Source organism: Homo sapiens, chromosome 3 (genome assembly GCF_000001405.40).
Source record: "Homo sapiens chromosome 3, GRCh38.p14 Primary Assembly".
Classification (NCBI taxonomy): Eukaryota; Metazoa; Chordata; class Mammalia; order Primates; family Hominidae; genus Homo; species Homo sapiens.
The window spans coordinates 162,712,758-162,728,657 of record NC_000003.12 but is presented as its reverse complement, the minus strand read 5'-3'; the positions used below and the strand labels follow the sequence as shown (position 1 = coordinate 162,728,657).

The following is a 15,900-nucleotide window of genomic DNA, read 5'->3' as shown; positions in this document are numbered from 1 at the left end:
TCATAAAATTAGTTTCTAAGCAAAGGAAATATTTATTCCCTTATTCATTCACTCAGTAAGTCATCATTCATTTAAAATGTGAGGCATATGCAGAGATGGAAAAGGCTTTGTCCTCATGGAGTTGATATAAAGACAAGAGATGGAGGAAAAGATAATATGCAATAAATAAAAAGACAAGATTAAGTGATGTTATAGTAAGTTACTAGTGTGGGAGTACTTGGGTACTTTTTTCCAATCACAACTTTTTTTTTTTAAGATAAGTATTTTCTATCTGCTAAAATATTGCCCTTGTCATATATGCTCCACATGGATAAGAGTGTTTTCTATCTGTCCTACTCATGTGTCTAATAAGTGAAAGAGTTCTACAGTGATTTCATGAGTAGATGCATAATTTCTTTTTACTTGAAAGATGATTATCAACATAATCATAACCATTTTATATGACTATCAAAATAATATTTATTTTTCAGAAAATAGCTAAAATATATTCTATTAATATTTATTTGGAAAGCTTTGTCTGAGAAAGCATCACTAGGTACTCACTCCTAACAGAATACTTAGTTTGTGCCATCTATAGCATTTCATTACAGCTTTGTAAATACCTACTGAACAAATTCTAAGCTCTTTGAAGTTGAAACCCAGACAATGGCTGATAAGTAGTGGGTGTTCCATAGATGTATGTTTAATGAATTAATGGATTAACATTAATTGCTCTGTGGACAATAATGATCCACTAAGCAAAATACTCCAGAAATTCTACATTTAGTATACTTATAGATCAGCAATTTATTACTTTAGGGTCTATTTCACAGTAAAAATGCAACTTTATAGTGTGTATGTCAGGGAACATTATTTTCTATTTGATAAGGACACTGCATGAATTTAGAGACAATAACTTTTCTCTCTATTAATGTCATCATTCCACCAAGAGCCTAAGCCACTGACATACATTACAAAACACTAGGTCACAGAGAAAATCACTTTCAAATTTATATTGTGAATGCACAAGTTAGATTGATTTATACCTGTAAGTGACAAATTGTTGCTGAAATAAGATGAATGCATTCACAAGTCAATAGCTAAAGGAACTGAAAACTGTGCCTATATTTATGCCATAGCAGTCTGTTAGTTCACAAAGCTGTGGCAGAGGATGATAATGCTGTATAACCAAGTATCCAAAATGTCAAAAATCTTAGGGATCTGGCACATGTATACCTATGTAACAAACCTGCAGGTTCTGCACATGTATCCCAGAACTTAAAGTACAATAATAAAAAAAAATCTTAGGGATCTATTTAAAATAAACCTCTGGATACCTGATTTTATTCAGAGCACTAACCATGACATCAGGTATCACATATTCATGTTTGATTTCTGTACAATTTAAAAATAAACAGAAGTAAAATTGAATAGGGGGAGGGGGAGGGACCCCAATCTCTTATCTCTGCTCCCTGATCCCTTATTTCCGCACCCCAACCTCTTACCTCTGTGCCCCGATCCCTTATCTCTGCGCCCCAACCTCTTATCTCTGTGCCCCAACCCCTTATTACTGCAGCCCGACCCCTTCTCTGCTTTTCTGGAGGGCAAGAAGCCCCCACCCCTTCTCCATGTCTCTACTCTCTTTTCTCTGGGCTTGCCTCCTTCACTATGGGCAAGCTTCCACCTTCCATTCCTCCTTCTTCTCCCTTAGCCTGTGTTCTCAAGAATTTAAAACCTCTTCATCTCACACCTGACCTAAAACCTAAATGCCTTATTGTCTTCTGCAATGCCGCTTGACCCCAATACAAACTTAACAATGGTTCCAAATAGCCAGAAAATGGCACTTTCAATTTTTCCATCCTACAAGATCTAAATAATTATTGCCGTAAAATGGGTAAACGGTCTGTGGTGCCTGATATCCAGGCATTCTTTTACACATCAGTCCCTCTCTAGTCTCTGTTCCCAATGCGATTCCTCCCAAATCCTCCTTCTTTCCCTCCCGCCTGTCCCCTCAGTCCCAACCCCAAGTGTCGCCGAGTCTTTCTAATCTTCCTTTTCTACAGACCCATCTGACCTCTCCCCTCCTTGCCAGGCCAAGCTAGGTCCCAATTCTTCCTCAGCCTCTGCTCCTCCACCCTATAATCCTTTTATCACCTCCCCTCCTCACACCGGGTCTGGCTTACAGTTTCGTTCCGTGACTAGCCCTCCCCCACCTGCCCAGCAATTTACTCTTAAGAAGGTGGCTGGAGCTAAAGGCATAGTCAAGGTTAATGCTCCTTTTTTTTTTTATCCCAAATCAGATAGCATTTAGGCTCTTTTTCATCAAATATAAAAATCCAGCCCAGTTCATGGCTCATTTGGCAGCAACCCTGAGACGCTTTACAGCCCTAGACCCTAAAAGGTCAAAAGGCCGTCTTATTTTCAATATACATTTTATTATCCAATCTGCGCCCGACATTAAATAAAACTCCAAAAATTAAATTCCAGCCCTCAAACCCCACAACAGGACTTAATTAACCTCGCCTTCGAGGTGTACAATAATAGAGGCAGCCAAGTAGCAACATATTTCTGAGTTGCAATTCCTTGCCTCCACTGTGAGACAAACCCGAGCCACATCTCCAGCACACAAGAACTTCCAAACGCCTGAACCGCAGCAGCCAGGCATTCCTCCAGAACCTCCTCCCCCAGTAGCTTGCTACAAGTGCCAGAAATCTGGCCACCGGGCCAAGGAATGCCCACAGCCCGGGATTCCTCCTAAGCCACATCCCATCTGTGCAGGACCCCACTGAAAATCGGACTGTTCAACTCACCTGGCAGCCACTTTCAGAGCCCCTGGAACTCCGGCCCAACTCTCTCTGACTCCTTCCCAGATCTTCTCAGCTTAGCGGCTGAAGACTGACACTGCCCAATCGTCTCGGAAGCTCCTAGACCAACACCGACACCGAGCTTTAGGTAACTCTCACAGTGAAGGGTAAGTCCATCCCCTTCTTAATCAATACGAAGGCTACCCACTCCACATTACCTTCTTTTCAACAGCCTGTCTCTCTTGCCTCCATAACTGTTGTGGGTATTGAAGGCCAGGCTTCTAAACCTCTTAAAACTCCCCAACTCTGGTGCCAACTTAGACAATACTCTTTTAAGCACTCCTTTTTAGTTATCCCCACCTGTCCAGTTTCCTTATTAGGCTGAGACACTTTAACTAAATTATCTGCTTCCCTGACTATTCCTGGACTACAGCCACATCTCATTGCCGCACTTCTTCCCAATCCAAAGCCTCCTTTGCGTCTTCCTCTCATATCCCCCCATCTTAACCCACAAGTATGGGACATCTCTACTCCTTCCCTGGCAACAGATCACATGCCCATTACCATCCCATTAAAACCTAATCACCCTTACCCTGCTCAACGCCAATATCCCATCCCACAGCACGCTTTAAAAGGATTAAAGCCTGTTATCACTCACCTGTTACAGCATGGGCTTCTAAAACCTATAAACTCTCCTTACAGTTCCCCCATTTTACCTGTCCAAAAACCGGACAAGTCTTACAGATTAGTTCAGGATATGCGCCTTATCAACCAAATTGTTTTGCCTATCAACCCTGTGGTGCCCAACCTGTACATTCTTTTGTTCTCAATACCTCCCTCCACAACTCACTATTCCATTCTTGATCTTAAAGATGCTTTTTTCACAATTCCACTGCACCCCTCATCCCAGCCTCTCTTTGCTTTCAGACTGACCATGACACCCATCAGTCCCAGCAGCTTACCTGGGCTGTGCTGCTGCAAGGTTTCATGGACAGCCCTCATTACTTCAGCCAAGCTGTTTCTCGTGATTTACTTTCTTTCCACCCCTCTGCTTCTCACCTTATTCAATATATTGATGACCTTCTTCTTTGTAGCCCCTCCTTTGAATCTTCTCAACAAGACATACTTCTGCTCCTTCAGCATTTATTCTCCAAAGGATATCAGGTATCCCCCTCCAAAGCTCAAATTTCTTCTCCATCCATTACCTACCTCAGCATAATTCTACATAAAAACACAAGTGCTCTCAAACCCCAACCCCTTCTACAAAAAAACAACTCCTTTCCTTCCTGGGCATGGTTGGATACTTTCGCCTTTGGATACCTGGTTTTGCCATCCTAACAAAACCATTATATAAACTCACGAAAGGAAACCTAGCTGACCCCATAGATCCTAAATCCTTTCCCCACTCCTCTTTGCATTCCTTGAAGACAGCTTTAGAGACTGCCCCCGCCCTAGCTCTCCCTGACTCATCCCAACCCTTTTCATTACACACAGCTGAAGTGCAGAGCTGTGCATTCTAACACAAGGACCAGGATTGTGTCCTGTAGCCTTTCTGTCCAAACAACTTGACCTTACTGTTTTAGCCTAGCCCTCATATCTGCGTGCAGTGGCTGCCGCTGCTTTAATACTTTTACAGGCCCTCAAAATCACAAACTATGCTCAACTCACTCTCTACAGCTCTCATAACTTCCAAAAGCTATTTTCTTCCTCACACCTGATACATATACTTTCTGATCCCCAGCTCCTTCAGCTGTACTCACTCTTTGTTAAGTCCCACAATTACCATTTGCCCAGGACTGGCAAATTAGCTTTACTCAACATGCACCGAGTCAGAAAACAAAAATACCTCTTAGTCTAAGTAGACATTTTCACTGGATAAGTAGAGGTCTTTCCTACAAGGTCTGAGAAGGCCACCACAGTCATTTCTTCCCTTCTGTCAGACATAATTCCTCGGTTTAGCCTTTTACCACCTTCCCTTCTCAGAATTCTGACCTGTCCTTGGAATGCTACAAGGTACAGCCCATTTAAGCTCCTGTATAGACACTCTTTTTTATTAAGCCCCAGTCTCATTCCAGACACCAGACCAACTTGGACTGTGCCCCAAAAAACTTGTCATCCCTACTATCTTCTGTCTAGTCATACTCCTATTCACTGTTCTCAACTACTCATATATGCCCTGCTCTTGCTTACACTGCCAGTTTACACTGTTTCTCCAACCCATCACAGCTGATATCTCCTGGTGCTATCCCCAAACTGCCACTCTTAAATCATCTTTGCTGGCAGGACTATGCTGAATCTCCTTAGGCACTCTCTAATTAGATGTCCTGGGTCCTCCCAATTCTTAGATCTTTAATACCTGTTTTTCTCCTTATTCCGTTTAGTTTTTCAGTTCATACAAAACCATATCTTCTAACAGTCCCACAATATCACCCCTTACCACAGAATCTTCCTTCAGTTTAATCTCTTCCACTCTAGGTTCCCATGCCACCCCTAATCCTGCTTGAAGCAGCCCTGAGAAACATCGCCCATTATCTCTCCATAGCATCCCCCAAAATTTTTGCCATCCCAACACTTTACCACTATTTCGTTTTGTTTTTCTTATTAATATAAGAAGACAGGAATGTCAGGCCTCTGAGCCCAAGCTAAGCCATCATATCCCCTGTGACCTGCACGTACACATTCAGATGGCCAGTTCCTGCCTTAACTGATGACATTCCACCACAAAAGAAGTGAAAATGGCCTGTTCCTGCCTTAACTGATGACATTGTCTTGTGAAATTCCTTCTCCTGGCTCATCCTGGCTCAAAACCTCCCCTACTGAGCACCTTGTGACCCCTACTCCTGCTCGACAGAGAACAACCCCCCTTTGACTGTAATTTTCCTTTACCTACCCAAATCTTATAAAACGGCCCCACCCCTGTCTGTCTTTGCTGACTCTCTTTGCTGACTCTCTTTGCTGACTCTCTTTTCGGACTCAGCCTGCCTGCACCCAGGTGATTAAAAGCTTTATTGCTCACACAAAGCCTGTTTGGTGGTCTCTTCACACGGACACGTATGAAGGAAACAATGTAGTGTTAGTGTCTCTAAAAAGACTAACACTTTTTGTTTTTGTTTGTGTTTTTGCCTGTTATTCCTTCTCTTTATCAAAAATTTTCTCAAATACCAAGAATAAATTTTTGGAATAAATTTCCAAATAATACTTTTTATTTTAAATTTTCTTTTACATGAAAAATATATGTACATTGCAAATGGAAATTTGGAGTCCAAGGATGTAGTCACATCTCACTGTAACTTCAATCTGAAATGTAGTCAATCCATAAATTTTCATTTATTCTGCTGACTTGCATTAATCAATAGAATATTTATGCCTTAATGGCATGGTTATGATCTTTTTTATATATTCCTTTACTCTACCTTTCTGGTTTTCAGCTCTCTGTTTCTTTTATTAAATTTCTACAACTTTCAACTTTATCACCTATTTATGTAACTATTCTGTGGCTTAGATTAGTTTTTCACTTTTTGTCTTATTAATTACCCATTTAATATGTGAATATCTTAACTTTAATATTACGTATTTCGGAGATAATTTCATTCAACTTAACTTCGTTGTACTTTGAAGGCTGATAACAGGAGGCTTTTTTTAAAATTTAAGTTACATTTTAGAACATTACTATTGTCTTTTTTACATATGGTAATGGGACTGTATAAAAATGAGGCCTCTGTACCTTTTGCTGCCTCATGGAAAGTTTATACAGTGAGGAATTACAACCAGAGCAGCTTAACAGTACTCTAAACTTGTATATTTTGCATCAATGTCTTCATCATTGTTTTCCTTGACAAGCATACCTTCCTGGTGACATGTAGATTTCAAGGAAGTAGTTTTGTTGTCTGTTGCCTTGTCCACAAACCCTATCACAAAAGTGCTATTAGCAGAAGCAACAAGAAAAATAAATGGCCTTGCAAATAGCTCTTGTGTTATTTATATCACTACCAGTTTTAGCCAAATATTGAACTAGAAGTGTCTCTGTTTATCATGGAAATTAAGATACTTGAAAGACTGTTCTCTGGTTTTGCACTTTTTGCAAAAGCTTTCTCACCAAGTTCAATGCACTGCGGGAACTCACTCAAATATTTTAAACTGTCTTGAAGTTTAGCTTTGTTGTATTGCTTCATTAGGAGCAATAATGAGGCTTGAATAATGTCACTTGCTAATGGAGTAAAAATATGAAACAACAACAGCATGTCCTTCTACCCCCTCCTTATTCTTAGGGCAATAAACACTGTTTTAAAGTTTTAACACACAGGAGGATATCATATATACACTAGGTCAGGTTTCTGATGTGGTTTTTCCATTGTTGCTAATGACAGCTTGCTGTTCAAACTGCTTTTTATCCTGTCAGTATTATCCCGTAATAAAAATTGCCTAAGTTTTAGCAGTTAAAAATGTGTGGTCTAGGTTATAGGACATCAAATATACAGTTAGAAATGCTGAAAACATTTGTGACCTCAGTATCTGATTTCTAGCTTTTCTCTTGAACAACATTTGGTCAGGAAACTGAGACTATGCCTTACATTCGTACAACCTCTTGTCTTTTTAGTTTTCTTTCCAAAAAATATCAATCAGGTTTCAAGAGTGCTTTCTAGTTTTTGAAAGAAATTAAAAAGTCATATCTAAAAATAATTCTTGAACTGGAAATAAATTTAAGTGATTTATTTCAACTCATTTTTATAGAGTAGATTTCTATCAATTTTCTTTTTCAAATGTAATTCATTTGAATAAGTAAACTTAGGTGTTCAGAAAAAAATGTATTTTCTTTTTTTTTTTTTACTTCTCAGTAAGTTAAACACATGAATGATCAAAGGCAAACGGAAATATATTACACATTCTGAAGTTTAACATCCCACCAGGATCTTCACAGGAATATTTTAATTATAATAAGTTTTGTGATCATTACATCTAATCCCTTTCAACTTTTCTGTTGCTCTTCCTTGTATACTTGAATAAATGCCAAGTAAATTTCATCTTTGAAGAAAAAAATATAAAAATACTTAACTGATTTCAAGTTATATGTGGATTATTGAAATCATTTAACAGCAATTTAAGCTGTTTGTAATCAGATAAGAAACTATGTCAGCAACTTAATTGGATTCAGGGAATTTGAACAGATTTTCTGTGCAGGGTCGCTAAGCATAATGCTAACAGTGGGCTGGAGCTACTCCAATTTATTCACTTCTGTAAAAAGAAGACTTCCTAAACCTGGAAAATAGTAGAGAGGGCCTGCTAGGATTTACAGCATTATATCCTCCATCTTATTATATTTCTGGCTTTTGTTTTGTTGATTTGATGTATTTATCAAAAATGTTAATCATTACATAGCTTTATCAATCATCATTTAACATGAACATGAATTACCCCAAAACAGCTTGAATCCTTGAAGATATCTGAAAAACCATGTTAATAAAAATAAGACTGTATATTCAGGTCTGTACATGTGGCTCATAGAAGGGTTTCAAATATGTAATTACCTGCAGAGGAATAGACATCAATTTTCAGGCTCTAGATGTTAGTAATTAATAAAACATGGCAGTAGACATTACTTTAACATATTATAAATAAAAATACATAGCACATATATGCATACAATATACACAGTGCATGTGCACATATTTGCTGTCTAAAACAGTATATAAATTCAAATCAAAAAGATGAACAGGGGTACTGCTGGGGTAGGCAATGGGAGTAAGTCTCAGCCCAATCTAGAGATACTGGGAAGTATTTAATGAAAGAGTGGATACAATATAAAAAAAACAGAAAAATTGTTAACATTAACACAAAACCTCATCCAAGCAGTTCAAAGCAACAGGAGAAAACAGAGGGCAATATCAAAAAAGCAGGAGACTGCATTTAAACTGCCCTAGTAGGTTTGAATCCTGACTCAACCTCTAAGCTGTGACATTTTTGGCAAGTTCCCAAGATTTATAAGTCATGGTATCTTAGTCAGCTCAGGCTGACCAAATAAAATGCCATATACTAGGTGGCTCAAATAACAGAAATTTATTTCTCACAGTCCTGGAGGGTTGGAAGTCCAAGATTAAGGCATCAGCTCATTCAGTTCCTGGTGAGAGTTCTCCTCCTGGCTTGTGGAGAGCCATCCTCTAGCTGTATTTTCACATGGCTTTTTCTCTCTTACTCATCTTATGACACTAATCATATTATGAGGGCCACACACATAATCTCATCTAACCCGAATTACCCCCAAAAGGCTCCATCTTCAAATACTATCATATTAGGCACTAGGACCTCAATATATGAGTTTGGGGGGACACAAGCATTCAATCCGTAATAATATCCTCCTCTGAAAATGGCATCAAAGAGTCCTTGCTTGGATTTATGAGGCTCAGAACATAGCAAATGTGGTGATAGTGGAAGCATATTCTTCGGTGGTGCTGCTGCTGCTTTACTGTGTGACCATCATTTGAAGGAGTCAACAACTGATTAAAATGGCATGATTCTCACTGGTTGAGTCTGTAAGACCAAGAACATGTATATGCCAATGGAATATGCTAGAAGATGTATAAGGAAATTGCAAAGAAGGACCATACAAAACATTTTGAACTCTTAGTTCATTATTTATTTTGAGGATATGGATGTAGTGGTTATTTAATTGAGGATTCAGCTAAAAAAGGCAAACAGAATTTCATTAGCAAAAGTGCTGGAATGCTGTGTTCTTTTCATCCTTACACCAACTGAGAAGACTTTGGTGAGGAACAATTAACAAAACTTTTTATATATCTCTAGATATTGAAAGCCACAGAAGTGAGTTTTAAACACACCTGAGAGTTATAAAGATAAAAGAATATTATTATTTTCATGAATTCACAGAACTGAGAGGAGGGCAAAGTGTCATGTTTTCTTTGGACCAGATGCACAACCACAAGAGAATATGCCGGTTCTCAGGGGACCTCACCCAATTGAACTAGGACTGAGAAACCTACGTTGAGTTTCCTGTTAAGCCAAGGCTGAGTTCTGGGAAAAGGAATCATAAAAAGTCAGCTGGAGGAGACATCAACAAGCAAGCTGCAGGTGGAACTGCCTGGGGGATGGGGGAGGGATCCTCTGAGAAACAGAGAAAATCCCTCAATAGAAAAGTCAGCATTCAATATCTGCCAATTTGAAAGAGGGCCAATATCAGATCAAAATAGAATTAGGCTGCATCTCTTACCCCAAATTACCTGCACTCTTAATAAACTCTTAATGAGTGTTATGGGCTCAGAAAATGAAGCTAGGGCTTAAGGAGGGAGTTGGCAAAATAAGGAGACAAACTGACTTTTTTTTCTTAGCAAGTGCAGACCTCCAATCTTGAAGCAGCATTCAGTGGGAGAAGAAAGAAAGCTTTAATTTTGTTGAAGTTGAGAGTCGTGATTATCACGGTAACTCGGAATTTCATCTCAATAAAAGAAATTTTGAGCCTTGGAAATACCTGAAGACCTATTGGTGATTTTGTCCCAGAAGCACACAGAACCAAGCTAATGAGTATGTTTGAAGGGAATGGAAAAAGAAAAATTTGCCCTATGACTTGCATATTGAGACCAATATGTTTAACAAAATAGTTACTTTCACTCGTGTCCATGTGAAGAGACCACCAAACAGGCTTTGTGTGAGCAACAAGGCTGTTTATTTCACCTGTGTGCAGGTGGGCTGAGTCGAAAAGAGAGTCAGCAAAGGGAGATGGGGTGGGGCCGTTTTATAAGATTTGGGTAGGTAAAGGAAAAAGGGGGATTGTTCTCTGGCCGGCAGGAGTGGGGGGGTGGGTCACAGGGTGCTCAGTGGGGGAGCTTTTTGAGCCAGGATGAGCCAGGAGAAGGAATTTCACAAAGTAATGTCATCAGTTAAGGCAGGAACAGGCCATTTAAATATCACTTCTTTTGTGATTCTTCACTTACTTCAGGCCATCTGGATGTATACATGCAGGTCACAGGGGATATGATGGCTTAGCTTGGGCTCAGAGGCCTGACATTCCTGTCTTCTTATATTAATAAGAAAAATAAAACATAATAGTGTTGAAGTGTTGGGGAGAAAATTTTTGGGGGTGGTATGGAGAGACAACGGGTGATGTTTCTCAGGGCTGCTTCGAGCGGGATTAGGGGTGGCAAGGGAACCTAGAGTGGAAGAGATTAAGCTGAAGGAAGATTTTGTGGTAAGGGGTGATATTGTGGGGTTGTTAGAAGAAACATTTGTGGTGTAGAATTATTGGTGATGGCCTGGATATGGTTTTGTATGAATTGAAAAAAGAACGGAATAAGACAAGGAGAAAAACAGGTATTAAAGGACTAAGAATTGGGAGGACCTAGGACATCTAACTAGAGAGTGCCTAAGGAGTTTCAGCATAGCCCTGCCAGGAAAGATTACTTAATTACTTTAAGAGGGAGTTAAGAGTGGCGGTTTGGGGATAGCATCAGGAGATATCAGCTGTGATGGCTTGGAGAAACAGTGTAAACCGGCAGTGTAAACAAGAGCAGGGCATTTATGAGTAGTTGAGAATGGTGAATAGGAGTATGACTAGACAGAATATAGCAGGGATGACAAGTAGTTTTTTTTTGTGGGGGGCGGGGCGCAGTCTAAGTTGGTCTGGTGTCTGGAATGAGACTGGGGCCTAATAAAAAGGAGTGTCTATACAGGAGCTCAAATGGGCTGTACCTTGTAGCATTCCGAGAACAAGCTTGAATTCTGAGAAGGGCAAGTGGTAAAAGTATTATCCAGTCCTTTTTAAGTTGACGGCTGAGCTTGGTGAGGTGTGTTTTTAAAAGACCATTAGTTCACTGAATACTAAGAGTCTGAGAAACTGCTTGGGTGATTTGACTAATAAAGGCCGGTCCATTATACGTCTGTATAGAGGTGGGAAGGCCAAATCGAGGAATTATGTCTGACAGAAGGGAAGAAATGACCGTGGCCATCTTAGACCCTGTGGGAAAGTCCTCTACCTATCCAGTTAAAGTGTCTACTTAGACCAAGAGGTATTTTAGTTTCCTGACTCAGGGCATGTTGAGTAAAGCCAATTTGCCAGTCCTGGGCAGGGGCAAATCCCAGAGCTTGATGTGTAGGGAAGGTAGGGGGCCTGAATAATCCCTAAGGAGTAGTAGAATAGCAGATGGAACACAGAGAAATTATTTCCTTAAGGATAGATTTCCACGATGGAAAGGAAATGAGAGCTTCTAAGAGGTGGGCTAGTGGCTTGTACTATAGCATAGCCTGCCTTTGCTGGAGTGTGGTGATTAGGCCTGGTGGAACTGCCATCAATAAACCAAGTGTGATCACAGTGAGGAACAGGAAAGAAGGAAATAGGGGGAAATGGGGTGAATGTCAGGTGGATCAGAGAGATGCAGTCATGGGGGCCAGGTGTGGTATCAGGAATAATGTGGGAGGCCGGATTGAGGTCCAGGCCAGGAACAATGGTAATTGTAGGAGACTCAACAAAGAGTACAGCTGAAGGAGCTAGAGATCAGAAAGTATATGTGTCAGGTGTGAGGAAGAAAATAGAGTTTGGAAGTTATGAGAACTGTAGAGAGTGAGTTGAGCATAGTTTGTGATTTAGAGGGCCTCTAAAAGTATTAAGGCAGTGGCAGCCACTGCATGCAGACATGAGGGCTAGGCTAAAACAGTGAGGTCAAGTTTGGATAAAAAGGCTACAGCGCACGGTCCTGGTTCTTGTGTAAGAATTCCAACCGCACAGACCTGCACTTCGGCTGTGGGTAATCAAAAGGGTTGGGATGAGTCAGGGAGAGCTAGGGCGGGGGCAGTCTCTAAAGCTGTCTTCAAGGAATGGAAAGAGGAGTGGGGAAAGGATTTAGGATCTATGGGGTCAGCTAAGTTTCCTTTTGTGAGTTTATATAATGGTTTTGTTAGGATGGCAAAACCAGGTATCTAAAGTCGAAAGTACCTAAGCATGCCTAGGAAGGAAAGGAATTGTTGTTTTGTAGAAGGTGTTGGGGTTTGAGAGATCAGTTGGACATGATCAGCAGAGAGAGCAGGTCTGTTTTCATGAGAATTATGCTGAGATAGGTAACAGATGAGGAAGAAATTTGGGCTTGACTGAAGTAATGGGAGCTGTCTGTGAAGCCTTGCAGCAGTACAGCCCAGGTAATTTGCTGAGCCTAATGGGTATCAGGGTCACTCCAAGTGAGAGGAAGAGAGGTTAGGATGAAAGGTGCAAAGGAATAGTAAAGAAAGCATGTTTGAGAGCCAGAACAGAATAATGGGTTGTAGAGGGAGGTATTGAGGATAGGAGAGTATATGGGTTTGGCACCACAGGGTGGAGAGGCAAAACAATTTGGTTGATAATGTGCAGATCCTGAAGTAACCTGTAAGCCTTGTCTGGTTTTAGGACAGGTGAAATGGAATTGTAAGGAGAGTTTATAGGCTTCAAAGGCCTTGCTGTAGCAGGTGAGTGATAACAGGCTTTAATCCTTTTAATGCGTGCTGCAGGATGGGATATTGGCGTTGAGTGGAGTAAGGGTGATTAGGTTTTAATGAGATGGTAAGGGGGTGCATGATCGGTTGCCAAGGAGGGAGTAGAGGTATCCTATACTTGTGGGTTAAGGTTGGGGGATATGAGAGGAGGATGCAAAGGAGGCTTTGAACTGGGGAAAAGGGCGGCAATGACGTGTGGCTGCAGTTCAGGAACAGTGAAGCAGATAATTTAGTTAAAATGTCTTGGCCTAATAATGGAACTAGACAGGTGGGGATAACTAAAAAAGAGTGCATAAAAGAATGTTGTCTAAGTTGGCACTAGAGTTGGGGAGTTTTAAGATGTTTAGAAGCCTGGCCGTCAATACCCACAACAGTTATGGAGGCAAAGGAAACAGGCCCTTGAAAAGAAGGTAATGTGGAGTGGGTAGCCTTCATATTGATTAAGAAGGGGACAGACTTACCTTCTACTGTAAGAATTACCTTAAAGCATCTGTGATGGTCCAGGAAGCTTCCAAGGCAATTGGGCAGTGTCGGTCTTCAGCTGCTGAGCCAAGAAGATCTGGGAAGGAGTCAGAAAGCCTTGGGCCAGAGTTCCAGGGGCACTGGAAGTGACTGCCAGGTAAGTTGAACAGTTCGATTTTCAGTGGGGTCCTGCACAGATGGGACATGGCTTAGGAGGAATCCCAGGCTGTGGGCATTCCTTGGCACAGTGGCCAGATTTCTGGCACTTGTAGCAAGCTCCTGGGGGAGGAGGTTCTGGAGGAATCCCTGGCAGCTGCGGTTCAGGCGTCTGGAGTTCTTGTGTGCTGGAGATGTGGCTGGGGTTTGTCTTGCAGTGGAGGCAAGGAATTACAACTCAGAAATACATTGCTACTTGGCTGCCTCTACTCTATTATTGTACACTTTGAAGGTGAGGTTAATTAAGTCCTGTTGTGGAGTTTGAGGGCTGGAATTTAATTTTTGGTAATTTATTTAATGTCAGGAGCAGATTGGGTAATAAAATGTATATTGAGAATAAGACAGCCTTTTGACTTTTTAAGGTCTAGGGCTGTAAAGCGTCTCAGGGTTGCTGCTAAACGGGCCATGAACTGGGCTGGGTTTTTCATATTTGATGAAAAAGAGTCTAAATGCTAACTGATTTGGGAGAGGTCAGATAAAGAAAAAGGAGTATTAACCTTGACTATGCCTTTAACTCCAGCCACCTTTTTAAGAGGAAATTGCTGGGCAGGTGGCAGAACGAAACTGTAAGCCAGACTGGGTATGAGGAGGGTAGGTGATAAAAGGATTATAGGGTGGAGGAGCAGAGGCTGAGGAAGAATTGGGACCTAGCTCGGCCTGGAAAGGAACAGCCTGGGGAAGAGGGGAGAGGTCAGATGGGTCTGTAGAAAAGGAAGATTGGAAAGAGGAAAGACTCAGCGACGCTTGGGGTTGGGACTGAGGGGACAGGCGGGAGGGAAAGAAGGAAGATTTGGGATGAGTTGCATTGGGAACAGAGGCTAGGGAAGGATTGATGTGTAAAAGAATGCCTGGACATCAGGCACCTCAGACCGTTTGCCTATTTTATGATAAGAATTATCTAGATCTTGTAGAAAGGAAAAATCAAAAGTGCTGTTTTCTGGCTATTTGGAACGACTGTTGAATTTGTATTGGGGTCAAGCAGCATTGTAGAAGTAAATAAGGTGTTTAGGTTTAGGTCAGGTGTGAGTTGAAGAGGTTTTAAGTTCTTGAGAACACAGGCTAAGGGAGGAGAAGGAGGAATGGAGGGTGGAAGGGTGCCCATAGTGAAGGAGGCAAGCCCAGAGAAAAGAGAGAATAGAGACATGGAGAGAAGCGGTGGGGGATGCTTGCCCCCAGGAAAGTGGAGAAGGGGTAGAGACACAGAGAGTAGGGGTCGGGGGGTTCTTGCTCCCTAGAAAAGTGATACTTGCAACTAAGGGTGAAGGAGAAGGGGTCGGGGGGTTATTGCCTTCCAGAAAAGTGGAGAAGGGGTAGAGACATGGAGAGAAGGGGTCAGGGGGTTCTTGCCCCCCAGAAAAGCAGTACTTGCCGCTAAGGGTGAAGGACCAAGGCAGGCATCCCCGTGTAGTCAGACACCTCTGAAATGTGGGTGAATAATCAGGCAGGCATCCCCGCATGATTAAACACCAAGGGAAGACTGTCTTCCCGAGTCCGTGACTGGCACCGGAGATTTGGGTCTATGGATAAAACACGTCTCCTGTCTCTATGAGAAAAGGAAAGGAACTGAAATTAAGAGAAGGGAGAGATTGAAGTGTGGCGCCAAGATTGAAAGGAGAAAGAGGTTGAGGGATAGTGAGAGAGGTTGGAGAAGAGGGTAAAAAGAGGCCGCTTACCTGATTTAAAATTGGTGTGATGTTCCTTGGGCTGGTCGGTCTGAGGACCTGAGGTCGTAGGTGGATCTTTCTCATGGAACAAAGAGCAGAAGAACAGGGGATTGATCTCCTAAGGGAGGTCCCCTGATCCAAGTCACGGCACCAAAATTTCACTCGCGTCCCTCACACAAAGACCACGAAACTGGCTTTGTGTGAGTAACAGGTCTGTTTATTTCACCTGGGTGCAGATGGGCTGAGTCGAAAAGAAAGTCAGCGAAGGGAGATAGGGGTGGTGCTGTTTTATAAGATTTGGGTAGGTA

At 41.5% G+C, this 15,900-nt stretch overlaps 1 annotated feature.

Annotated features, from left to right (window-relative positions):
* Nucleotides 5,098-6,059: an enhancer, noted in NCBI's record as "OCT4-NANOG-H3K27ac hESC enhancer chr3:162440387-162441348 (GRCh37/hg19 assembly coordinates)". NCBI's record gives its function as "activates a minimal SCP1, AML or CMV promoter by ChIP-STARR-seq in naive H9 embryonic stem cells {active_cell/tissue: H9 hESC(naive)}" and the evidence as "EXISTENCE:reporter gene assay evidence [ECO:0000049][PMID:30033119]".